Source organism: Homo sapiens, chromosome 8 (assembly GCF_000001405.40).
Source record: "Homo sapiens chromosome 8, GRCh38.p14 Primary Assembly".
NCBI classification, from domain to species: Eukaryota; Metazoa; Chordata; class Mammalia; order Primates; family Hominidae; genus Homo; species Homo sapiens.
In genome coordinates, this window is record NC_000008.11 from 48,596,406 (window position 1) to 48,623,923 (window position 27,518).

The 27,518-nt window shown below is 42.1% G+C and overlaps 3 long non-coding RNA genes across 3 annotated transcripts in view; 2 read left to right on the top strand and 1 right to left on the bottom strand.

The window, feature by feature from the left end:
- LOC101929268 (uncharacterized) overlaps positions 1-27,518 on the top strand; it is a 146,944-nt gene that overhangs the window by 44,839 nt on the left and 74,587 nt on the right. The window lies entirely within an intron of this gene.
- LINC02847 (long intergenic non-protein coding RNA 2847) lies at positions 681-24,566 on the bottom strand. Its single transcript, NR_187517.1, has 4 exons — positions 24,363-24,566; positions 5,703-5,824; positions 4,207-4,331; positions 681-1,113 (listed from the first exon to the last, which is right to left on the bottom strand). It is a non-coding gene; the product is annotated as a long intergenic non-protein coding RNA 2847 (long non-coding RNA).
- Positions 23,998-27,490, top strand: LINC03054 (long intergenic non-protein coding RNA 3054). The gene is made up of 2 exons (NR_105004.1): positions 23,998-24,124; positions 27,267-27,490. It is a non-coding gene; the product is annotated as a long intergenic non-protein coding RNA 3054 (long non-coding RNA).

Below are 27,518 nucleotides of genomic sequence, written 5' to 3' on the forward strand. Positions count from 1 at the left end.
TGCCACAGATTTTGTTAGTGTTGGGGAGACAAAAGGTATAGTTCCAAGTGCCTTTAGATGCCTTCAAGACAGACACAAGACACAATCTGCACACGAATTCCTGGTGTGGTGGCCCTGGTTGTGAGGTGTGACGGGAGTGCTGATGAGGGACCCCAAGCCACCTGGGGCCAGAAGGGTCCTTTCCTCTGAGACCTGCTGGGCCACTATCTCTTAGCTGGGTTAGCAGGTCTCCTTGATAAGCATCCACGTGGTCCATGGCACACTGAGAGCTTCTCTCCCTGTCAGGCACCTAGGCATTCCCTGTGTGTCTGTCTCAGGTCTTTCAACTGGCATTGCATTTGATTTCTTTTCAGCCTTTGGTTAGTATTCTCACTACACTAGGAAAACATGTGAGGTGACCTCCACAACAATACACAGGACCATTAAAAATAACATCAGGGGGAAGGACCAGCCAGAGGAAGAGTGGGAGATGATGCCAGCAAAAGTCTGTCTGCAGGTGCATCTGTCTGCAGGTTGCCCTGGGCTCCAGTGACCAGCCTGCTCTGTCTACCTTTGCATGATCTCCTGCAAATTGAGTAGCTTAATTTTTTTTATTTTTATTTTTAAAATGGTATCTCTCTGTCACCCAGGCTGCAGTGCAGTGGTACAATCACAGCTTACTGCAGCGTCGACCTCCCGGGCTTAAGGGATGCTCCCGTCTCAGCCTCCCAAGTAGCTGGGACCACAGGCACATGCCACCACGCTTGGCCAGGTGGCTTACTTTAGTGTTAGTTGGTGTGCTACTAAAGAATTAAAAAAAATTATCATTGAGAGTGTAATATAAGCTGATAAAAGCTTGAAAATACTAGATCTTCATTGTTTCTAGAAAATTTGGAACTCCATGTTGGGAATTCTAGAATGGCTACGGCCGCCAGCCCTCATTAGACCCTGAAATGAAGGAACTCAGTCCTGTGGTTTGTTTTTAACTTCCTTTCTGTTTCTTTGTCCCTGTCTTTCTGAGCCTGGCTTTTGTTGTTGTTGTTGTTGTTGTTAATCTGTATTTAATCCAAGCTCCAATACTTTTCCCTGTGCAAGTCTTCAGGACATTCCTTGCTCTTGAGTCCAAGTATTTGCCTGTGAAAAACAGGGAAAATGATATGTACCTTATGCTGATGTCACTGGGTAAATTAAATGATGGCTAACTATATAAAATGTCTAGTGAGGTGCCTGGAAGAAAACGTGTTCTCAGCAGCTCTTAGGAGTCCAGGTTTCAGTCCTGATCTGCTGACTTCCACTGGAGTCCTGCTGGCACTCTGGGTGGTTAGAGGACAGGAGAGCCATGCAGTGCACGGGGAGGAAGGCGGCAGTGCCAGCTCACATCTGGCAGGGGGCAGTGGCCCTGGTGTTGGGAAGCCCATACCTCCTGGCTGCTGTAGTGTGCTGTGACCCGCTTCACCTGCACCCATCTACAGACCTGCCCTCGGGGTCCCTCAGTAAGAACCAACTGGGATTCAACTTTAGCTGACATGGAAGAGTGATCTCTACACTGTAGATGAGTAAAAGGCAAAAGTCTTGTATTTAATGATATCAAAGCATGGTAAATTATTCAAAAATTTTCACATGGAGCAGTTGTTTTGAATGAGGTCCACTTAATGCTACTCAATAAGGTCTTAATTTGTATATGATTTCACCATTAAGTCTATCATGGTGCAACCATTAATAGCGAGCATTGGTTAAATACTTGCATTATTTGTAAGGGGATTCCATAAAATATATATAGTCATTAAAATTGTTTTGAGTAGGTAGCACAGTCATAGAGTTCCAAATTCAAAACGTACAAAAGTTTAAATAATGTATTCTTCCACTCTTGTCTTGACACAAATTCCCTTCCTATGAAACAGCCAGTTCTATAATTTTTCTAATATTTTTCAGAAATAGGTTACATCTCTACAAAGGAAGTTAATTCATGTTCGTATTCTTCCTTCTTTATATAAGTGGTAAAAATACTGTACACACTCTTCTGCCCTTGTAAGAGCAATATATTTTCAAGTGCATTCCATATTTGCACACAAACATTCCTTGCATCCTTTCTACAGCTGCATTATATTCTATTGTATGATATGCTGTATTATTTAAAAGTCCTTTAATGATGTATACTTATGGCTGTCTCCAACATTTTGATCTTACTAATAGTGTTATAATAACAAGTATGTGTATATGTCATCTCACATGTATTAGAGTATTTCTGTGTGAAAATTCCTAGAAATAAAATTGCCAGATCAAAAAATACATGCATTAGTAATTTGTATGTATTTTGCCAAACTGCTTTTATAGAGGTATGACCAGTTAGCAGCCTCACCAGCAGCACAGAAGCAATGTAGATATGACATCCCCACAATCTCTCACTGACACACCATGTTACCCAATTTTTTTTCCTCAAAGATCCTTGTTCTGACCATTATCCAAATTTTGATCTCTATGAGAGAGGTGAAAAACAATTTAATATAATTTTATTTGACATCACCTTATTAGAAGAGAGGTCAAGCCTTCTTTCCAAATGTTTGAAGGGCATTTGTATATTCTTCCTTTTCCCCCCACATTTTCCTACTCTGTTTTGACCTGTTGGTTGTTGGTTTGTAAGAGTATTGTATTTATTGGAAAAACTAGCATTTTTATGTTTGCGAAATGCAATTATGTTCCCTAGCTTGTCTTTTTTTTTTTTTTCGAGACAGAGTCTCGCTCTTGTCGCCCAGGCTAGAGGGCAATGGCGCGATCTCAGCTCACTGCAACCTCTGCCTCCCGGGTTCAAGTGATTCTCCTGCCTCAGCCTCCTGAGTAGCTGGGACTACAGGCATGCACCACCACGCCCAGCTAATTTTTGTATTTTTAGTAGAAACTGGGTTTCACCATGTTGGCCAGGCTGGTCTCGAACTCCTGACCTCAGGTGACCCACCCACCTCAGCCTCCCAAAGACCTGGGATTACAGGGGTGAGCCACCGCGCCTGGCCGCTAGTCTTCTTTTTTAAGTACTCACTTAGAGTGGTTCTTTTTTGTACACAACTTTTTATAATTAAAATTGCTACAAAGTTATTAATTTTTCTTTTATATCTCCTGGGTTATATGAAGTAATTTTAAAAGGCCTCTTTCATTGGAAGATTATTAAAAGTGAATTATTACATACTTTTCAAGAAATGTATTGATATATATTCACATGGATTATGTATAAAGAGGTATATATAATTCACATGAAATATATATAAAAATATACATTCTGTGTGAATTTTATTCTGATTGTTAGGTGTGATATTTTCAATGAATCTATATAATACTGTTTTTAAAATTGTGTTACAATATATACAACATGAAATTAACCATTTTAACCATTTTAAAGTGTACAATTCAGTGGCATTGATGGTGGTACACACTAGCCATGTGCACAACCATCACCACTATGTGGTTCAAGACCTTTTTCATTGTCCCACGAAGAAAACCCATAAATTAGGCAGTCTCTTCCCATTGCCGCTTCTCTCCAGCCCTAGGCAACTACGCATCTGCTTTCTATCTCTATAGATTTGCTTTTTCTGGGCATTTCATATAAATGGAATCACACAATAATGTGGTTCTGGCTTCTTCAGTTAGCATGATGTTTTCAAATTTCATCCATGTTGTAGAATGTATCAGTACTTCCTTTTTGTATGACTGATTAATAGCCCATCTTCTGGCTATGCCACATTTTTAAAATCCTCTCATCAGTGGATGGACATGGGGGTTGTTTCCACTTATTGTGGATAGGGCTGCTATGAACATTGGTGCACAAATTCTTGCTGGAACACCTCTTGTCAGTACTCCTGGCTGTGTACCTAGATGTAGAATTGTGAGATCATATGGTAATTTCATGTCTACTTGTTGAGGAACTGCTAAAATCGCATAGAAGGAACTTTTCAGAGGCCCTGTTTACCCGAGGTGTCACAGGCTGGTTTTTCCTCCCAGGCTTTGGGCGCGTCTGTTGTCCACTCCAGCTGTTACTCTTTGCTCCCGGCAGCAGTAGCTTGCTCACTCACTTCTGCTGTTCTGGGAAGCCCTGTCCTCTTAGCCACCCGCCCTGATCACTCCGAGATAGGCAAAGCAAGGACAAGCCCTGTGACCCAGGAAATCCCCGTCGGGTCAAAACAGACACAGTTCCCTGAGATCCGGGTCTGGTTTGCTTCCTCGGAGCCCAGTACTCACCCCAGGCATGGGAGCAGCCACCTCGCCAAGGAGGGCAGTTGAGGCTGCAGCGAGGGTCTTGGTCGCCTCTGTCCTAGCTGGGCTTTCACTTGGTTGCTGCAAACCATTGGCTATCTCCCAGCAGTCTGAAAGGTTGATTTGACATTTTTTTGTAAATTTTTAAAATTTATTTATATTTATTTATTTATTTATTTATTTATTTGATACAGAGTCTCGCTCTGTTGCCCAGGCTGGGGTACAATGGCATGATCTCGGCTCACTGCAACCTCCGCCTCCCGGGTTCAAGCGATTCTCCTGCCTCAGCCTCCCAGTAGCTGGGGTTACAGGCACATGGCAGAGGCCTGGCTAATTTTTGTATTTTTAGTAGAGAGAGGGTTTCACCATATTGGTCAAGCTGGTCTCCCACTCCTGACCTCAGAAGATCCACCCACCTTGGCCTCTCAAAGTGCTGGGATTACAGGTGTGAGCCACCGTAAGTGGCTCACTTAGAGTGGTTCTTTTTTGTACACTCTAAGTACTCACTTAGAGTGGTTCTTTTTTGTACACTTTAAGTACTCACTTAGAGTGGTTCTTTTTTGTACACAACTTTTTATAATTAAAATTGCTACAAGGTTATTTTCTTTTATGTCTCCTGGGTTATATGAAGTAATTTTAAAAGGCCTCTTTCATTGGAAGATTATTAAAAGTGAATTATTACATACTTTTCAAGAAATGTATTGATATATATTCACATGGATTATGTATAAAGAGGTATATATAATTCACATGAAATATATATAAAAATATACGTTCTGTGTGAATTTTATTCTGATTGTTAGGTGTGATATTTTCAATGAATCTATATAATACTGTTTTTAAAATTGTGTTACAATATATACAACATGAAATTAACCATTTTAACCATTTTAAAGTGTACAATTCAGTGGCATTGATGGTGGTACACACTAGCCATGTGCACAACCATCACCACTATGTGGTTCAAGACCTTTTTCATTGTCCCATGAAGAAAACCCATAAATTAGGCAGTCTCTTCCCATTGCCGCTTCTGTCCAGCCCTAGGCAACTACGCATCTGCTTTCTATCTCTATAGATTTGCTTTTTCTGGGCATTTCATATAAATGGAATCACACAATAATGTGGTTCTGGCTTTTTGTCATATGGCCTTTTTGTCATATTTTTCAGTGTTTTTGGGAGGGACAGGTCCCCAGAGTTTCCTACTCTTTCGTTTTTGCTGTACAAGTTTTAAAAAATTTGAATAACTTCTGTCCTGTAGTTGTAGACTAACAGCAAAGTAAAAATGTTGCCCTGGTTGACTGCTCAGCTGCATGCTCTGCCAGGCTGGCAGCTCAGCAAACCCTCACAGGTGCTCGATAATCACAACCCTCAGAACTTATGAATGAGCCCTTAGATCATCACAGGAGGTCAGTGAGATTTTTGGCCCCATCATCAGTTGGGGATTTAAGCTCAGAATGCAAATTACCTTTGAGACCTCCTACCTGAAGGGGGCTGCTGGCTGTGGGGTCCCGCTTGTGCCCGCCTCCTCCTTCTCTGTCTTCTATGTCATGTGAGGCTGGCATTCCCACGCGTGATTCCAGGCTTGTTGTTCATCTACACAAAACTTTTAATACGATTTTGACAAAAAACATAGAAAAGGATGACTTGCCCTACTGAATATTGAAATGAACCGTGGACTAACTATGAACTTTCAAACAATCCATTAGCGGCTGAGAAATAAACAGAAAAATCAATGGCCCAACACAGACAGTGGAGAAACAGGCTGAGGAGCATGTCCAAGTTTGTATGGTCAGGAGTGTGCCTTTCAAGTCTGTGGGGAAATACGTGTGGAAAAGCAAGACAGGAGTGTATTTCATACCACAGGGCAGAAGGATTCCAGACTTATGTGGAAGGAATAAAGTCATCACAATGTGAGCTTACATGGGCCTGTGGGGCAAAAGGCTTTCTAAGTATGACTTCTAAGGGAGAAATCATAAAGGAAATGCATGAATAATAAAAAAGGATACATTTTCTATGGTAAAATAATATCACAGAAGGAAAATTGCAAACTGTGAAAATATATTTGCATCATATGTCAGATAAGGGTTTTATAAGAAGACACAGAAAAAATGTCTCATGGCCAGGTGCGATGGTTTATGCCTGTAATCCCCGCACTTTGAGAGGCTGAGGCAAGTGGCTCTTCTGAGGTCAGGAGATTGAGACCAGCTTGGCCAACATGGTGAAACCCAGTCTCTACTAAAAATACAAAAATTAGCTGGGTGTGGTGGTGCATGCCTGTAATCCCAGCTACTCAGGAGGCTGAGGCAGGAGAATCACTTGAACCAGGGAGGTGGAAGTTGCAGTGAGCTGAGATTGCGCCATTGCAGTCCAGCCTGGGCAACAGAGCGAGACTCTGTCTCAAAAAAAAAAAAAAAAAAACCCCAAAAAAACAGAAAAGAAAAGAAAAAATGTCTCACATATGGATAGGTGTAAATATTAAGTATGTGTAATCAAAATATATTTATTAAATATATATCTACATATAGAAAGGAAACGATAAATCTACCAATATAAAAATTAGTAAAAGACGGCCAAGAAATGTATAAAAGAGCAAAAACAAAGACCAGTAACTAATAATTGAAAATGTTCAATCTCATTAGTAATCAAAGAAATACAAAAAAATCTAGTGATGATATGCCATTTCCCTTTACCAAATGACAAAAGTAAAAAGAACTGATGGCACCCAGTGCTTTTGGGAAGGTGGCACATTTCTATACCACTAGGGGTATTATAAATTCGCACAACTTTTGTGAAGGATAATGTGATCGGATGCATCAAAAGCCTTAACATGTTCACCAACATTTTACGTGGCACTTACACTTACAGGAAAATATTCTAAAAATTGATTATTGATTTATGCAGACACTTTGTTGTGATGACACCAACTATAGTGCAGGCTAATTACAGCAGAGAAAACTTGAAGAAACGTAAAAGTTGAACATTTGAGTTTAATTGGATCAATTATGAAATATACATACCATTAAAAATGATGCCATTAAAAATGATGCCATTTTAAGTGTTTTTATTGAAACACATGTTCCCAATACATCATGAAAAGGGAAAAAGAAGTTTACAAAACACTCTATTCAGTAAGACCACAAGACCCTCCTTTTGTAAAATGTGTATTTATGTATACTAATAAACATATGATAGTGTATTAAATCATACCATTTAGTATATGCATGGAAAGCTGCCTGAGAGAGAACTCCAAAGTGCACTACAATGGATTCTATCTGACTGGTTTGCTTATGGGTTATGTTTATATTCTTTTTGCTTATTTGTTTCTGATTGTTTTATAATATGTATTTGTTGTGTAATAAATCTTGAACCAAGTGTTTATTTAAAAAAATAAAGCCCTTGAAAACTCTCCACTGTCTTATGAATTAGGTGAAAACTCCCAGGACTGTCACTGAAGGCTTTCCACAGTGTGTTCCCAAAGTATGTTTCCAGTTCTATTGTCTACTATTTCCCTTATAATGAAATCGGATCACGTTACTTCCCTGATTAAAACCTTCAGTGGTTTCCCATCGCACTTGCAGTCGAATCAGCCTCTACCTGCTCTGTAGCCCCCTGGTCATCTGGTTTGCCTTCTGCTCCGCCTTATCTTAAGCAAATCTCCCTTCTACCTGCTTCCACTACTGTGCTGGCCTGTGTAGAACAGGAATCTTGCCTCACACAGAGCCCATCCAAACGCCGTGTTCTCCACTTTTTATCTGCCTGGTGCCTGCTAATCCTTAAGGTAACTTTCTCAGTGATGTTTCCCTGATATCCAACTCAAAATAACACTTCTTTGCCCACTTGAGCTTTCTCTTTCATAACCATCTGTTTTTATTTAGAGCAATTATTTAATAGAATCACTGTTACAGATTTTTTTAGTTTGTTCACTTGAAACATACCTGTCTCTCCTGTTAAACTTTGCTGTGTGAGGGCAGGGACCTCCATCTGCTTTTTGAAGCCACTAATATTAGACACTATTCTAATATTATTATTATAAATTAATTATTATTAATAATATCAGACAGTATTCTAAGCTAGTGCTTAGAATAGTGTCTGATACTTAATAGACATTTACACATTTATGGACTTGGTGAATGAACACGCTCTGCTTCAGTCAAACATAATCATAGCATTTGAACACATATCATAATCACATACCTAAATGCTGTTATTATTCTCTCCATCTCTGCCTGTCAAGTTCTATCTGTCCTCAAAAGTCCACTCTAATTCTGTTTCTCCAGTTGAAGCTTTTTCTGATCGGTAAATGGTGGGAGGAAGGGTGGCAGGTTATCACCGGAAAAGAAGAGAAGTGAGTTATTGCAGACATGCTAAGTCAGACATCTGCAGGAGTTATGATCCAGTGAAGGGCAGAGAGTCCCCAGCATCTGGAGGAGAGGTTGGAGGAGGGTGGAGATGGGAGGGTCAATGGCAGAGTTTATTGTAGTCTGAGCGGTGGGTGGAGTGGGTAAAGGCGAGAAGGGAATGAGAAGACAAAAGGAGCACCCAGGAAATTTAAATTATCTTGCCATGGCCATATAATGTCATTTCATTTAGTAGTTTAAGTTTTACTAAAAGTCATGAGATTAAAAATACTTAATCATGAGATTAAAAATATGTGAATTGAGGCTTCTGCTTCCAGGAAGATGCAGTGGACATACTTTTCCCCATTCCTTTGTCTAAACATAACTAAAAACGCAGGACATTATACATGAGCCAATCATAAGGAGACTGTGAATGGAGGAGAGAAGGCAAACCTACTATGGGTCTTGGGACAAGAGAGAAGACATAGTTATGAATTCCCTGGGTTTTCTTTTGGCCCCATATATCCTAGACTTGGAGCTGAAGAAGCCAGGAAACTGGAAACAGTAATAGGCTGAGACCAAAAAGCCCCAAAAGAAGCATGCTCTCTCCAACCAAAGCCAGGAAAAGGGCACCAAGGCAGAAAACTTCAAGACAATACAGCTTTATTGTAGCCAAATGCCACTGAGCAAGCTGGGCCCAACCCCACTCATGCCAGCAAGGGCTGAGTAGGGAGCCTGAATTCTTGCACTTGGCAGGCTGTAATGAGGCACCTCCACACTCCTGCCTGGATGGTGTCAGAGGAGGCCAAATAGGATTCCTTAACTTTCACTCTTGCCAGCTGGTAATGAGCCCCTGCCACCCCGTGTCAGTGGGACCATGTGGAGAGCCTGGACTTTCACTCTCACCCAGCAGTAATGAGGCTCCTCCCTCTACCAGCTGGGGTGGTATCAGAAGAAGACTGGAGGAGCATCAGGACTTTCACTGTGGCCCAAAGAGAATGAGGCCACCCCTACCCCACCGTGGTGCTAGTGGAGATCATAGGTAAAGTTGAAACTCCCACATCTGCCTGGCAGTGATTAGGAACAACCCCCCTGCCCTGCCCTCAGGTGCCAACAGAGGTGCTGTGAAGAACAAGAACTTCTACTTCCACCTGGTAGTAATGAGGCTGCATCCTGCCCTCTTCCCCTGTGGGAGTGCTGACAAAAAAAAAAAAAGAAATTCAGCTAAATCGGAACACCCAGGCTCAAAATGCAAATATCCCCACTGAGACAGGAAATATCACTTGAACCTGAAAATTGCCCACCATTCAAAAACCCAGGAAGATCCTAAACTGAAGGACAAAAGACAATTAACAGATGCCAACACCTAAAGACAGAGATATCAGATTTATCTGAAAAGAGTTTAAAGTAGCCATGACAACAATGCTTCAATAAACAATTTGAACACACTTGAAAAAAGTGAAAAAAAAAAACAAAACCTCAGCAAATATATAGAGAAGAACCAAATGGAAATGTCAGAACTTAAAAATAAAAAAACTGAAGTGGATGGGCTCAATAGCAGAAGGAAGTGAGCGGTGAAAAGAATCAGTGAATTGGAAGAAAAAATAAGAGAAATTAACCAATCTGAAGAACAGAAAGAAAATAGAGTGAAAAAAATGGACCCAGCCTGGCGTGGTGGCCCACGCCTATAATCCCAGCACTTTGGGAGGCCAAGGCAGGTGGATCACGAGGTCAGGAGGTTGAGACCATCCTGGCTAACACGGTGAAACCTTGTCTCTACTAAAAATACAAACATTTAGCCAGGTGTGGTGGCACACGCCTGTAGTCCCAGCTACTTGGGAGGCTGAGGCAAGAGAATCACTTGAACCTGGGAGGCGGAGGGTGCAGTGAGCTGAGATCATGCCACTGCGCTCCAGCCTGGGTGAGAGTGAGACTCTGTATCAAAAAAAAAAAAAAAAAAAAATGGACCCATGGGAATATAACAAAACATCTAACATTCGTGCTATCAGAGTCCAAAAGGAGAGGAGAAAGAGGGTGAAGCTGAAAAATGCACTTGAAAGAACAATTGCCAAAATCTCCTCAAATTTGGCAACATAAATAAATCTACTGATTCAAGAAGCTGAGATAACTTCAAATAGCAAACACCTGAGACACATCGTAATTAAACTTCTGAAAACTAAAGACAAAGAAAAAATATTAAAAAGTGGTCAGAGGAAAGCAACACCTTACCCACAGAAGAGAAGCAACTTTAGTGACAAAGAATTTCTCATCAGAAATCACGTAAACCATAAGGAAGTGGCAGAATATTTTTCAAGTTTTTAAAGGAAAGAACTGCCAACCCAGTGAAAATTTTCTTCAGGAATGAGGGGAAAACCAAAACATTTTCAAATGAAGGGAAACCAAGAGAATTTGACACCACCAAACCTACCTAAAGAATGGCTAAAATAAGTTCTCCAAACAGAATGGAAGTGATAAGAGAAGGAAACTCAGAAAATCAGGAGAAAAGAAAGAACATCGTAAGCCAAAATATAGATACATAGAATAGGTTTTCTTTATTGCTTTGAGTTTTCCAAATTATGTTTGAAATCTAAAGAGGAAATATTTATGATAATTATTTTATAAGTGGGGGAAGGTAAAGAGACACAAAGGGAGGTAAGACTTCTGTAATTTACTTGAACAGGTAAAATGATGGCACCAATAAGGGTGTGATAAATTTTGTGTATATAGTGTAGTACCTAGAGAAACCACTTTATTTATTTGTGTATTTATTTTTTTGCGGCAGAGTCTCGCTCTGTCACCCAGGCTGGAGTGCAGTGGCACGATCTAGGCTCACTGCAAGCTCCGCCTCCCGGGCTCATGCCATCCTCCTGCCCCAGCCTCCCGAGTAGGTGGGACTACAGGCACCCGCCACCACGCCCAGCTAATTTTTTGTATTTTTAGTAGAGACGGGTTTCACCGTGTTAGGAAGGATAGTCTCAATCTCCTGACCTTGTGATCCGCCCGCCTCAGCCTCCCAAAGTGCTGGGATTACAGGTGTTAGCCACCATGTCTGGCTGAGAAGCCACTTTAAAAGTTTTACCAAAAGAAATAAATGGAATTATAAAAAGTGTTTAAATAAAAGTCAGAGGCAGGAAAAAGGAAACAGTAAGAAAAAGCAGAAAAAAGCTGAAAACAAAAAAATTAAATGGCAGACCTAAACCCTAATATATCAATAATTAAATTAAATATAAATGGTCTAAATATTTGAAATAAAAAACAGAAATTGGAAGAGTGGATTAAAAAATATGGCCAACTATATGCTGTCTACAAGATACGCATTTCAAACATTACTTTATAGGCAGATTGAAAGTAAAATAATAAAAAAATGTCATGCAGATACTAATTATGGAAGACAGAAGTGGCTATATTAATATCAGATCAAGTATGTCTCAGAGCAAAGACAGAGAAGGAAATTACATAAAGATAAAAGGGGCCAATCTACCAAGAAGGCAAATATACCAAAAATAGAGTTGAAAAATATGTGAAGCAAACAGATAAAGCTGAAAGGAAAAATAGATAAATCTTTAATTATAGTTGAAGGCTTCAATACCTATCTCTCAACATTCGATAGAACTAATAGAGGGAAAATCAATAAAGAAACAAAATAACTGAACCATACCACCAACCAACAAGATCTAATTGACATATGTAGAGCACTCCACCCAACAACAGCAGAATCCATATTCTTTGCAAGTGCCAAAAGATTATACAGCAACATAAACCATATCCTGGGCTGTAAAACAAACCTCAACAGGTACAGGAACTGAGGTGATACTGAGTGTTCCCCTGCCATGACTGGATACAACTAGAAATTAAAAACAAAAATACAACAGGAATATCTCCAAACACTTGGAAATTAAACAGCATGTTCTAAATAGGTCAAAGAAGAAGTCAAAAGTGAAGTGAAAAAGTACATTGATTTCAACAAAAATGAAAATACAACATATCAAAATTTTTAGGGCTCAGTTAAGGCAGTGCTGGAATGGAAATGTATAGCACTACATGCATACATTAGAAAAGAAGAAAATGTTAAATTGGTAACTTAAGATCTCATTCTGGCCGGGGCAGTGGCTCACGCCTGTAATCCCAGCACTTTGGGAGGCTGAGGCGGGCGGATCACGAGGTCAGGAAATCGAGACCATCCTAGCTAACACGGAGAAACTCCGTTTTTACTAAAAATGCAAAAAATTAGCCGGGCGTGGTGGCGGGCGCCTGTAGTCCCAGCTACTCAGGAGGCTGAGGCAGGAGAATGGCGTGAACCCGGGAGGCAGAGCTTGCAGTGAGCCGAGATAGCGCCACTGCACTCTAGCCGGGGCAACAGAGCGAGACTCCGTCTCAAAAAAAAAAAAAAAAAAAAAAAAAAGAAAGATCTCATTTCAAGAACCTACAAAAAGGAGAAGAGAAAGGAAAGCCAAAACCAACAGAAGAAAGAAATACTAAAGATAAAAGCAGAAATCACTTGAAATTGAAAACAGTAAAATAACAGAGAAAAATCAATGAAACAAAGAGCTGGTTCTTTGAAAAGATCAATGCAACTGACAAACCAAGCACCACTGATGAAGGAAAAGGAAAGAAGACACAAGTTACCAACATCACAAATGTCATTGTCACAGATTAGCAGGGACATCATTTAGACTCTACAGACATCAAAAGGATAGTAAAGGAATACCATAAACAACTCTTCATACATAGATTTTGCAACTTAGATAAAATGGACCCATTCCTCAAAAAACAACAAACTGCCCAGACTCATCCAATATGAAATAAATAATTTGAATTATCCTATCACTATTAAGCAAATTGAATTCATAACTGGATTCATGAAAAAATCTCAGGCCTGGTGATTTCACTGGTTCAGTTGACCAAATGTTTAAAGAAGCATTAATATAAATTCTGTAGAATCTCTTCCAGAAAATAGAAGAGGAGGGAACACTTCTCAATTCATTTCATGAAATTAGTATTACCTTTATACTAAAACCAGAAAAAGAGAGCAAAAAAGAAAAAAACTACAAACCATTGTCCCTCATGCATACAGAGGGATAAAGGAATATAAAATTCTTTAACAAAATCATTAGCAAATGAGACGTAGCAACGTATCAGAAAAATTGCAGACTGTCACCAAGAGGGTTTTATTTCAGGGATTTAAGACTGGTTCAATATTCAAAATCAATGTAATCTTCCTCAACAACAGAACAAATTTACAATAGCATACATATGATCATGAAAAACATTTGGCAGAATTCAACAGCCATTCGTAATAAAAACTCTCAGAAAAATAGAAATAAAGGGAAATTCTCTCAAGTTGATCAAGAATGAGCCTGTGCAAAAGGCCCGTAGCTAACATTATATCTGAAGATGAAAGAAAGACTGAATACTTTACATCAGAGGTAAAGACAAGGATGTTAGCTCTTAAATCTCTTACTCAGCATAGTGCTGGAAGTTCTACCCTGTGTAAGAGTCAAGAAGAAAAAGTAAAAGACACACAGGTTGAAATGGAAGTGAAATTGTCTTATTTGCTGGTTGTCTGTGTGTAAATGCTCAAGAACCTACAGTAAAACTCTTAGAATTAATAAGTTACTTCAGTAAGGTCATAGGCAATATGATATGCTTAAAAATCAGTAGTATTTCTACATACTAGCAGTGCACATGTGGACAATAAAATTTTTTAAAATATCACTCACATTCAGTCAAAAATGAAAATTCAAGACTTGAATGATAAAAAGTACATATATTGATGAAAGAAACCGAAGAAGATCTTAATAGACTGAGTTCATGGATTGGACAATTCAATGTGATAAGAATTCAGTTCTCCTAAAAATGATACACAAGTTTAATGCAATTCCTATAAAAATCCCAGCAAGATGTTTTCTAGATAGCAACAAGATTAGTCTAAGATTTATATGGAAAGGCAAAGAAACTGGAATAGGTAAAACCATTCTGAAAAAGAATAACGTAGGAGAAATCAGTCCACCTGCTTTCAAAATGCACCACACAGCTAAGTAATCAAGACTGTGGGATATTGGTAGAAAGATGGGCATTTTGATCAAGGCAAAAGAGTAGAGAACCCCAACATAGACCCACACAAATATGCCCAACTGATCTTTAACAAAGTAACAAAAACAATCCAAAGGAGGAAAGATAGCCTTTCCAACAAATACCGCTGGATTAATTGAGTATCTATAGGCCAAAAGATAATGTACTCTGGACTGTCTTACACTTGTACAAAAATTAACTCAAAATATATCACAGACTTAGATGTAAACTCTAAAACTTTTAAGAAAAAAATTGGAGAAAACCTTTGTGATCTAGAGCTAAGCAAAGAGTTCTTAGATTTGACACCAAAGAAAGCATGACCCATAAATAGAAAAATTGGTAAACTGGACTTAAAAAGTTTTTTTCTTTGTGAAAGACCCTGTTAAAAGGGTGAAAAGACAAGTTACATGCTGAAAGAAGATATCTGCAAGCCGTGTATCTAACCGAGGGCGAATATCTGAAATTCATAACACCTATAAGCCTGAATAATGGAAAAATGAACAACTAAAACATAGACAAAAGAGAGGAAAAGACAATTTACTGAAGAGGATATGTATATACATGTGTGTCAAAAGACCACATGGAAAGACGTTCATCATTAGCTATTAGGGAAATGGTAGTTAAAACCACAGTTAGATACTGTTACACATTGATCAGAATAGCTAAAGTAAAACATAGTGACAACACCAAATCCTGGCAAAAATTCAGAACACTTACACATTGCCTGACAGAATGTAAAATTGTACAGCATGGTGGATTCTTAAGAAGCTAAACATGCAGGTGGCTTGCAACTCATAATGTGCACTTCTGGACACAGATTCTAAGGAAATGAAGGCCTATATGCATACATGTATGGGAATGTTCATAGTGCTCTATTTGTAATAGTCACAAACTTGAAACAGTGCAGATGTCTTTCAAGACTGAATGACTTAACAAACTGGGGCAAGTCCACACCATGGGACACAAGTCATAATTAAAAGGAACTAACTGTTCACACACACAACCATCTGGATGAATCTCCCAGGAATAATGATGCTGAGTGAAGAAAGGCAATCCCAAAAGTGAGATCTGTTTGACATCTTGAAGTGACGAAATTATAGAAACAGAAATTAGATTAGTGGTTGGCTGGGATTAGGGAGATAGTGGGTGTGACAGGTAAATAGATGCGTGGCTACATAATGTCAAAACGTGGTGTCCTAATATCAGAAATGTCTGTGTCTCTACTGTACCATGTCTGTATCATGCTGTGCTATTGTACTATAGTTCTGCAAGGTGTCACATTGGGATAATCTGCATAAAGGGAACAGGTATCTCTCTGCTGTGCTTCTTACAGTTGCATGTGAATCTACAAATTTCACAATAAAAATTTAGTCAAAAATGAATAGTATATAAACCTTTATAAACAGATTAGGAAATTGGGCAGAAATTTGGACACTGTCAATTTCTCCTCTGAAGCTGAAAGTAGATTGTATTGAAAACATATTAATCAAAGAAGCCAAGCGTTAGATTCACGAAGAGGTTCTTGGTCAATTACAGACAAATCCAACTTTTTTTGGCAATCACAGGATGCTTCCTTCCCTTTCCTCACATAAGGGTTCTGCCATGGTCCCTTTACCTCTCTGTAGCAGGGTGAGGGATATGAAGATTCTATAACCAAATATTTCATTTCCCCCTCACTTGTTGACCACACTTCTGGCAAATCAAGAAAGGTATAAAAAGAAATTGACTTTGTGGAGTTTGCAAGTTAATCGGGGACGTGTTAATAAAAGTAAGTGTGGAGGCTGGGCGCAGTGGCTCACACCTGTAATCCCAGCACTTTGGGAGGCTGAGGTGGGCGGATCACAAGGTCAGGAGTTCAAGACCAGCCTGGCCAACATGGTAAAACCCCACCTCTACTAAAAATATGAAAATTAGCCAAGCATGGTGGCAGGAGCCTGTAATCCCAGCTACTTGGGAGGCTGAAGCAGGAGAATCACTTCAACCCAGGAGGCAGAGGTTGCAGTGAGCCAAGATTGCATCACTGCCCTCCAGCCTGGGCGACAGAGCAAGGCTCCATCTTGGGGAAAGAAAAGAAAAAGTAAGTGTGGAAAGTTTGGGATCATCTCTTAAAGAACAAATATGAAAGTGACAGATACGGTGAAGCCTGGAGCTTATAACAGCCTGCTTACTCTGAGTGGGTGTGTGTTCTCAGATCAAGAATAGTTGTTCATTGTTGTTCATTGTTGCTGGAGGGAGAGGGGTTTTCTTGTAACAATAACAACAACAACATCAGCCATCATTTACTGAAATAAGTCCTACTGTGTCCCGCAACAACAGTAGCACATTTATCAAGAGATCATTCCTAAGTGCTTTACACTTATTAACTCCTTAATCTTCACAACCACCCCATGAAGTAAGGACTATTATTTTTTTTCATTTTACAGATAAGAAAACTGATTCATAGAGAGATTGAGTTATTTGCTGAGAGTAACTAAGGTAGTAATTGGTCAAGGTGAGTTGAACCCAGGCAGTATTTTGGAGATTCTAGAAAAGTCTTCCATTCCTGTTGGATGTCTGTAGAACGTGTGACACAATGTGAGTTTGGATTTGTCATTGAGGTGGGCTTTACATTGGCATTCGGTGTGTGGCTCCCACAGGCAGCTCTGTGCGGATCCAGGATTAGTATCAGCTCTTTCTGCTGCAAGCACAGGGTTGCGTCTCAGCAGCTGTCCTGCAAGCGCACCTATTCAAATACACAGCCATACTCAGAGCTCTTTGTCTGGAGAAAAGGATATAAAAGTCAAAGTACTTTTCCTGCCAGCTATTTGGTTGATCAGGATGGAATATATTGTATTGTAGGACACAATTCAGATTTGTGAGTTATTTCCTCTCACCCTCCCCCGGCTGCTGAATACACACTTTTTCTTCTGACTTTTAGGAAGTGTTTCCTGTGCAACCACATCTCACTTTTTGCATCATCTCCCACAAGACCACCTGGCTCCTTCCCACATCGTCCTCCATCCAGAGTGCAATTCCTAAGTCCCCTAGGGTGGCATTCTTTTCACATACATGATTCCAACCACAAATTTTTGCAGAGGTGTTCAGTGCAAATGGGACAGCTCCATTTCAGTGGGTGGGCGCAAGTTGGGGCGGAGGAGTTTCCCGAACTCTTTGCCCTTTTTGGAAACTCAGTGAGATTCTTTTAATCGTCTGGATGACCCTGTGTGTCAAAGGCACAGGTAGCATGTGCTATCAGATCTATTGGTGCCTGCGTCCAATATGTATGTATAAAACTAAAATCTGTACTTTCCCCATTGTTCTGTTTATGATGATGGGATCAGGAGTTGAGCCCTGGTGGCATTTAATGCACTATTGGGGAAATGTTAGTTGCAAGTGAATTACATTCTTTGCTTGCTGTCTAGCCTGAATTTCATATTTTTATACAAAATCTTTTTTATTTATTTACTTTTTTTGGTTTTTATTTTTATTTATTTTTTGTGTGTGTGACGGAGTTTCACTTTTGTTGCCCAGGCTGGAGTGCAATGGCCTGATCTAGGCTCACTACAACCTCTGCCTCCCAGGCTCAAGCGATTCTCCTGCCTCAGCCTCCCAAGTAGCTGGGATTATAGGCGCCAGCCACCACACCTGGCTAATTTCGTGTTTTTAGTAGACACGGGGTTTCACCATGTTGGCCAAGCTGGTCTCAAACTCCTGATCTTGGGTGATCCACCCTCCCTGGCCTCCTTACATGCTGGGATTACAGGCGTGAACCACCATGCCTGGCAAAGAAATCTTTAGGTTATCGACACACTTTACGTATCATGAATCTATAATATGTATTTATACATACTCTGTGTCTTTTCTTCTCTGTTTGGATAAGGTATGTTTATGCTAACCCGTATTAGCAATGGGACTGGTGATCCCATAGCTTGCAGAAGCTACTGGAGCATGGGCAATAGGACCAGTGCTGGCCGCGGCTTCTCCTTGCACCAAGTCCTCTGAGTGGCAGTGCCGGCTGACTGTCCTTCATTTCTTCTTGCTGGTCTGGAGGGAGTTCTCGGGCTGCGGAGCAAACGCTGCTGCCACACGACCTTTCCTGATGTGCCTGTGAATTCCTTCCTTCTGCCGCTTCATTTTGGATACTCTCATGCTGATTTTTGCTCAGTGATGAATTGAATGGCCTGTCAGTGTTTTCCAGTAGAGATGAGCTATTTTCCACCCTGAGACATGGCTTCTGTAAACTAAATTTGCTTTAGTTTCAAAATCAAAAGCAAATGGGCCCACCTTTATGGTGGGAAGGTAGTGGGCATGGGAAGTCAAGGAGCTCCCTGGGAAGGTCTGGTGGCAGCTCCCATGTCACTCCTCAGACAGTTTCTCAAAGGCTTATTTATCCTAGGCTGTCATGGATGTGTCAGCAGGGATGGTTTGGACACAGCTCTAATGCTGAGAACATATATTAAAAAAAGGTCTTGGCCAGAGTTAGTTTCTGAAATTCCTCTCTCAATTATTGAGAATAGTTTTGCTTTAACAAGCATTCTTTTCCCTCACAGTTCTGCTTCTCATTTGGCCCATCCTCTTGTGAAGTCATAATTTTGTGCTTATGATACGGCAGATAGTGACCAAGATGGAAACGATTATAATATCATGGGTGCCCAACATGCATGTTTATAGCAGCACAATTCACAATTGCAAAAATATGGACCCAACATATATGCCCATCAACCAATAAGTGGATAAAGAAAATGTGGTACATATATACCATGGAATAGTACTCAGCCATAAAATGGACAAAATAATGGCCTTTGCAGCAACCTGGATGGATTTGAAGACCATTATTTGAAGTGAAGTCACTCAGGAATGGAAAACCAAATATCGTATGTTCTCACTTATAAGTTGGAGCTAAGCTATAAGGATGCAAAGGCATAAGGATGATACAATGAGCCAGGTGTGGTGGCTCATGCCTATAATCCTACCACTTTGGGTGGCCGAGGCTGGTGGATCACAAGGTCAAGAGTTCAAGACCAGCCTGTCCAACATGGTGAAACCCTGTCTCTACAAAAATACAAAAAGTATCTGGGTGTGGTGGTGGGCGCCTGTAATCCCAGCTACTTGGGAGGCTGAGGTGGGACAATTGCTTGAATCTGGGAGGAGGAGGTTGCAGTGAGCTGAGATTGAGCCATTGTCCTCCAGCCTGGGTGACAGAGCGAGACTCTGTCTCAAAAAAAGAAAAAAAAGAAAAAAAAGGAATGATAGAATGGACTTTGAGGACTCAGGGGAAAGTGTGGGAGGTGGGTGAGGAATAAAAGAAAGACTACACATTGGTACAGTGTACACTTCTCAGGGTGATGGGTGCACCAAAATCTCAGAAACTACCACTAAATAACTTATCCATGTAACCAAAATTCAACTGTACCCCCCAAACTATTGAAATTTGAAAACAAATCACAGATGCCTAGCACTAAGGATGGACAGACGTGCAGGACAGAAGTAGAGACCTGCTCCATCCTCAGCCACAGCCACTTGTCCTCTTCCCCACCCTGTCTTTTGTCCGAATCAGCTCAGGCAAACCAGTCTGCCTGCACTCCATCGTATTCTTACAATTTGCCAGTTGTTGCCTCAAAAGTTTGTACAACAATCTCTGGACCAGCTGTTAGCTGTTGTCTCCCAGGGTTCTGGGATTCCTCTGGGAATAAAATGAGGCCAGGCTTTCTGGGACACCTTTCAAGTGGGGAACTCTACAGCAGATGCACTCATGGGCGGCAGCTGGAGGAAGTCTGGCAGAGATGATGGTATACGCTGCTGAGAACAGGAATGGAGCCTAACCATGTACTTGGAAGGCTCGGAAAGAAAAGAGGATTTGGAAGGAAAGAGGAGGGAGAGTCTATATTTAAGATTAACCTTGGAGGGAAGCTCACACAGGCAGAAAACTATGGCCACCAAAATTCCAAGTTACTAAGCTTTTCAGGGGATGTCTTAGCCAACAAATTTAACCTTTGAACAATGCTCTTTAAAAGAAAACAAAAGAGGAGATGTTCACAATGTAATAACAGAAACAATGAGATTTTTGCTTGCGTGTACTGTTCTTGAACTTGATCTCATCCCACATTATTGTTCCCACCACAGTGGGTGACTGAAAACCAAACCAGGCTGCTGCTCTCCTGGCCCCGAGGGTTCACTGGTGCTGGTGTTGCCCAACTTCTTAACCCTCCTCTGTCGAAACCCGCAGTGGCTGGTTGTCTCTTCTGTCATTTCAGAGGAGGGGGGACTTAAACCTCACGGGCATTTTCACTGAAACACAGAAAGCTCTGCTTTTCCACAGAGGCTGGGCTTTCTGAGCACATGCCCCACAGCTGTCTCAGATATCTGGAGCCTTCTCAGTTTTTCACAGAATCATCTAAGTTCCATAGCATCTGAGCAGGGTTGGGAACCAGCCTTGGAAAACCTTTACTTCTTAGGTAAATGGAAATTAGCACGACTCGATGTGAATAGTCAGGGCTGAGCTAATGCAAACTGACTGACCTTCTAGGCCAGTGTGGCTCAGTGTTTGCAGGAAAGTTCTGCCTGAAACCGTCTGATGAGGGCATATGGGAAAGGCAACACTGATTTTGCCCTCACATGGACTTGCATTAGAGAAAATAACAGTCCTGGTCTGAGAAGATAATTTTGAGGCATGAGAAAACTGAAACATTGTTTGGCAGATGTGTTTTCTGCATTTTCCTGTTCGTGTATTTTAGTTTAAGTAAAAGTTAGGGGTTAGGAATCTATCCTGTTGCCTGCGGGCTTACTTTAATCAAGCGAACACACACTGTCTCTGTCTTGATGGAGCCTGTGTTACATGTAATTGAGGGGTAACCAACATAAAGAACTCTCGGGTTGAAGAATGAGGACTTTGAGCTTAGGACCACTGCAGTGTTGTAAACTATAATCCTTATTTCTGTGCAAAAAATCACTCAGAAACTCTATAGAGAAGGTTGATGTTGTAATAACTATTGGTGATAGGCATTCATTCACCAGTAGATCACAGCCAGCATAGCTAACAGGACCCAGGTTTGCCATTTGAGAAGTGTTTGCTGGGAGGGGTTCCCCCAGGCAAGTGCTTGGTTCTGGAGTTGTCAGGCTCCATTTGCTGAGGGTCCATCGCTGTTGTGATCCATATGCTTAGTGTCTTCCTGAGAATCTGCACAGCCCAGAGTTTTTGAAGATTAACAAATGGATTTGATTTCCACTTTGCAAAAACATTCCCTCAGTTGAAAATCGTTTTTGCTTCCCCATTAAGTGCTATGTGGGAGAGATCATCAAGTCTCCTTCTGGGAGTTTGCAAAGGAGAATTGTTAACAGTTCAGCCAGAACAGAGTCAAGACCTGCATCCCTGAGGGTGGGCTGAATTTTCCTCTGTGAGGTGGCAGGTTTTGAATAATTCTAAATGCAGGTGGCGTCATTTTCACTGGGTGTTATGTCTGATGGTCATAAAGGATTCAAGGACAACAACTTCAAATAGGGAATCAATGCCGTAAGTACCAGCCCGTCCTTCCCACAGGCATGCTAACAGGCAAGATGGCTGGCAATTGTGGAAAACAGTCTCAAATGGCAAAAATGCAGTTTTGAGGCTGTTCCAGATAATTGCTGCTGGAGAGTTTAAGCTTTTGGTAGAAACTGATTTCATGGGCAGATGCTACTGTGGAGCCAGAGGTAATTTAGGTCTGAAAATTGGCCCCATTCTGAAAGTGGTTGTTGTGGATGATTTCAGATAAAGAATCCACTCTGCCAGATTGGACAAAGCCTATTGGAGTATCAGATCTGTTGCAGTCTCTCTTTACTATTGCTGAAGGAATGATTTAGCTAATTAGAACTATGCTTACATGAGATCAGTGTATCGAATCACACTTTGTCTTTTGCCCCAAGATGTCTTTTTTTCCCACTCTGTTTGGTGGGCTTCTGGGACTGCAGAGCAAACCAGTGAGAACAAATGTTGTTTCTGTGTGCACAACTGTCCAGGCATCCCCTCCCGTGTGGAGGACCCGTGGTGGAGGGTGTCAGACGAAGTTTCTGGGATGATGCGCCAGAAGGGCCTCTTACCATGTTGACTCCTTCTTTGAGTCCAATATTTTTGACTTAAGCATTAACGTTTATCTTAACAGTATTCTGATTCACAGTGGAGATTCTGAGGAATAGTCTAGCCTTGATAAGTCACTGAAAGATGAGACTCCGGGCTCTCTGATGGATGAAGGAGCAATGATAATGTTAAGCTGAGAGGCAGGAAGAAACCAGGGTTTGGGAACCTGCTTTGATAGGAAGAATTACATATGTGGAGAACGCCAAGTTGCCAGGCCTTGTTAGTCATACCTAGGTCTCTTTTCACTCTAGCCCTTTGCAGGCTTGGGAAACACAGCCTCTCCTCCTGTGCTCTCACACGGGAGCCCCCAGCCCATCCCACCTGCACATCATGACCAGCTCCAGGGTCAAGCCTCTCCCCTACAGCCACTGCTCCTGTTGGAGTTCAACCTGCATGGCCTCTGGCTTCTCTGCGTCGTGGCCTTTTACCTGTTCTCACCCCCTCTACTACCAGTCACTTTCAGCTACCCCAGCTCAGCAACTAGTTGCACTCATCGAGGACAGCAGAAATGATAGCGATAGCTAGTGCCCAGTGCTTGCTTCCTGCATGGCAGGCACCTTCTAAGCACTTTACACATGTTGATCGATTTATTTATCCTCCAGTGCTAGTATTATCCCCATTTCATAGATGAATACACTGAGGGGTGAAGTCACGTAGATAGCACTTGGTAAGTTGGATCTCAGGTCCCGATGTCACACACTCTAGTGAACCAAGTTAGTTTTCTGCCATGGGTGGCCATCCCACATCCTCTAGGAACACCCGAGACAAGCCTACGTGTTTCTCTTTTCTCCCCAAATAGGCAGCACATCGGCCACAGGCAGCCTTGGACAAGAAACTGGAGTGTTGATCATCACATTCCTCCCTCCCACCATCACCCAGGCCAGGAGCCGTGGCCGAGAAAGCCCTGGCCCGGATGCTAGACCTCAGCTTCGTATCCTCCCCCACTCCCAAGAGAACAGAGATGGTGAATAGATTTATCTTGAGTTCCGCCCTGGAGGACTGGCTGGGCTGTGGAATGTGTGTGGAGGAAGACCTTGAGGTGAAGTCTGCCCTGCGCCCAGTAGGGGAGATATTTGCCAGCCCCGCCTAAGGGCAGTTTCTCTGATGTTTCATTTTCTGTGCTCTGTGAGAATCACTGAACACACGGCCAGCAGTCTTCAGGGCATTTCTTTTCCCTGTTGGAGAGACGCTGTTATTACGCTATTATTGGTCCACAATGTGCTGACTCAGTGGTTACGGCGTAACCCTCCCCTCCACGCTGACTAGAGCATTGGCCTGGCGTAGGCAAATGGCTGAGCTCTTCTGGATGAACTCAGGGCATCTCTGAGGACTGTGGACCTGGCCCAGCCCTCCGCAGGGTGTAACCCTGCTCTGGGGTGAACTTTCATTCACTGTGGAGCAGGTAAAGGGCCCATGGTCACGGGCACCATCTAGTTATCTAACGCTGTAGTTCAGTGTTCTAGAGAAGGGGAAATGGGCCAAGTTGATCGGTTCTTACACGGCAGAAGGAGTCACTGCTTGTACTGAGGTTTCAAAACTGTTACTGCCTCATTGATTCTGCAGTTTAATGTCTACCTTCTCAGTTGGAAAATAATGGATTTTCATAACTCATAAATGGCTTTATGAAAACCATTTCTTACCGTGGTAGCAGATGAGATGAACAGCTGACCGAGAAGGCATGACTGGGCAGGTCCAGGGTCAGCACTCCGGCCTCACATACTGCAGACGGGGTTACGCAGCCGTGGTCTCTTGACCACGCTGCTCTTCCATAAAGACTCCACAAACGACTGCAAAAGCCGAAGGCTGGCCACCTTCTATGCCGATGTTGTGACTCCAGAATGCTTGCAAAGGGGAATCCAGGCACAATCTTCAGCTGTTGTGCATCCAAAAACGATTATGGAAATGATGCTGGTAAATCTCAATGACTTCCACATTGCCTGGCGCAGTTCCAGGACTGCACGGCTCCCCTCCCTCGCCTGTCAGACTGTTCCTTTCGTATCCCGTCTCCGTGGGGCTCTGACAGTACTAAAGTGCAGAGATATGAAATGTGGAATTGGCATTTCCCCCATAATTATCTCTCAGTCAGACAGTATTTGAACAAGACTCCTCGGCCTCAGAGAGGGGGCTGCTGGAAGTCTCCGTGTAGACCAATCTTTTTGATTTTTTTTTTTGCCCATTGTTCTGCTGAACCTGTGCAATACCATGGCTTATATGTGCCCATTGTCCTTCCAGTTCTTTTCTTCCCTAAAACATGTTTCCAGGTTTCTCATCCTTTAAAGTAATTAGCATTTTAAATGTTTCTCACAGTTGGCAAATCTTAGTTTATATTCAAGGTGTGGAGGTTCTCATTCCAAACCATTTAATCTGGAAACAATTCTTCACATCTTCTAGGTAAACATATGCTAGCCTTTTGTTAACTGTTTACTTCACCACACTGTTTATTTTTCTTCAATTGCTCCACAAACATTAGGTTTTATACAGCGTTCAAATTCTGTGATTTCTTTGATTTCTCCTTTCTTTCTTAGAAAACAATCATGGGTGGATAGGTAGAAAGAAACTACCCTTGGCTCCCGTGAGTGGCTTTCTCCTCTGGCACCAGGTTCTAGCTAACCATAAAGTTCCTGGCAATGACCAGGTTCAGCCAGCACACCACAGAACACACGGCGTGCCAAGGGCCTTCCCTGGCTGCAGTGCCTTCCTTGCTCCATACCTCCTTTTCCTTTTCCTTCACCCTGGGCCACCACTTGGGGCTGTGTGACCTTGGGCAAGGTATTCCCCTTACCGTATTTAAATGGGAATCATAGCAATACCAGCCTCAGACAGTTGTCCTGAGGGTTTTAATGAGTAAATGCACACAGAACATTTATTATTTATTTATCTTTGGCTCTGTTGCCCGGGCTGGAATGTAGTGACACAATCATAGCTCACAGCTGCCTTGAACTCCTGGGCTCAAGGGATCCTCCTGTGTCTGTCTCCTGAGTAGCTGGGACTATAGCTGTGGGCTGCTGTGCCTGGCTAATTTTTTTTTTTTGAGACGGAGTCTTGCGTCTCGGTCTGTCGCCCAGGCTGGAGTGCGGTGGCACGATCTCGGCTCACTGCAAGCTCCGCCTCCCGGGTTCATGCCATTCTCCTGCCTCAGCCTCCTGAGTAGCTGGGACTACAGGTGCCCGCCACCACACCCGGCTAGTTTTTTTGTATTTTTTAGTAGAAATGGGGTTTCACTGTGTTAGCCAGGATGGTCTCGATCTCCTGACCTCGTGTTCTACCTGCCTCGGCCTCCCAAAATGCTGGGATTACAGGTGTGAGCCACCGCGCCCGGCCACCTGGCTAATTTTTAAGTTTTAGTAGAGATGGGGTCTTGCCATCTTGCTCAGGCTGATTTCGCACTCCTGGGCTCAAGTGATCCTCTTGCCTCAGCTTCCCAAAGTGTTAGGATTACAAGCATGAGCCACTGTGCTGGGCCACAGAGAATATTGAGACTAGTCTGGTGTGTGGCATGTGCTGTTCAAGTGTTTGTGATGATGCTCTTTATTACTATGGTCATTCTCTATTTCAATTTCTCCTTGGCACTTATCACCAGCTAACATACTATAGATACTTCCTTACTTAATTGTGTTTATCGCCTGCTCCATTAGAAGGTAAATTCCGGGCAGGGCCCGGTGGCTCACGCCTGTAATCCCAGCACTTTGGGAGGCCAAGTTGGGCGGATCACAAGGTCAGGAGATCGAGACCATCCTGGCTAACACAGTGAAACCCTGTCTCTACTAAAAATACAAAATATTAGCTGGGCATGGTGGCGGGTGCCAGTAGTCCCAGCTACTTGGGAGGCTGAGGCAGGAGAATGGCCTGAACCCGGGAGGCGGAGCTTGCTGTGAGTGAAGATCACTCTAATGCACTCCAGCCTGGGCGATGAGACTCCATCTCAAAAAAAAAAAAAAAAAAAAAGGCAAATTCCATTAGGGTGGAGATGTTTGTCTGTTTTGTTCACAACAGCATGTGGAGCCTAGAGCAGGCATCTGGCAGGTGTGCTCCACAAATGTTTGTGGATGCAACTGGTACCACCAGGCTGTATAAAAAACAGTTTAAAAGGCCCAGCAATTTTAAATAGGGTTGTGTTAGGGATGCCATTTTGGGGGCCTCCTGTTTTTGTAGACCCACCTTGGTACCTAGGATGCAGACTTATTGGGCTCCAAACCTCCAGGACAGGGCAAGGCTTGAGGTGGCTATTTGGAGCTAGTTCCCAGTGAAGTGTTTGCATCACTTGGAGTGTGGGCTGGAGGAATAGGGACACAGGGACCCCAGACCAAAGCCATGCAGGAATCCAGAACTCAGCACTAGGAAGAAGGACTTGGGGGAGCCAGATTTTAGGAGAAATGTGCCATGTGTCTATCCAAATCAGCTACAGGAGGTGAAGGCAACAGCCCTTTCCCTGGAGTTGTTCAAACTTGAATAAGATTAGAATCCAATAGCTACAATGCAACAGAAGAAAAAAAAAGCTCATCTATCACTGATAATTCCAATAAAACTCTGCACTCTCTTTGCAGAAAATGCATCTATGAGCATCAATTTACTGTGTCCTGCCTGGCTTCAGGGCCTCAGATGCATCCTGAAGAGCATCCAGGGAAGTCTTAGAGCCATGGGCTTCTCTGCTAAGAACTGGTGATGTCACGCAGGCTGGAAGCTGACAATTTAAGTCAATTCACTCTCCAAAATGTTGCACCCCTGCTGCGTGTTAAGCTCATTAAAGTTGGAGAGTTGAATGAGCTAATGTTCATGACTCGCTGTGATGCAAATGT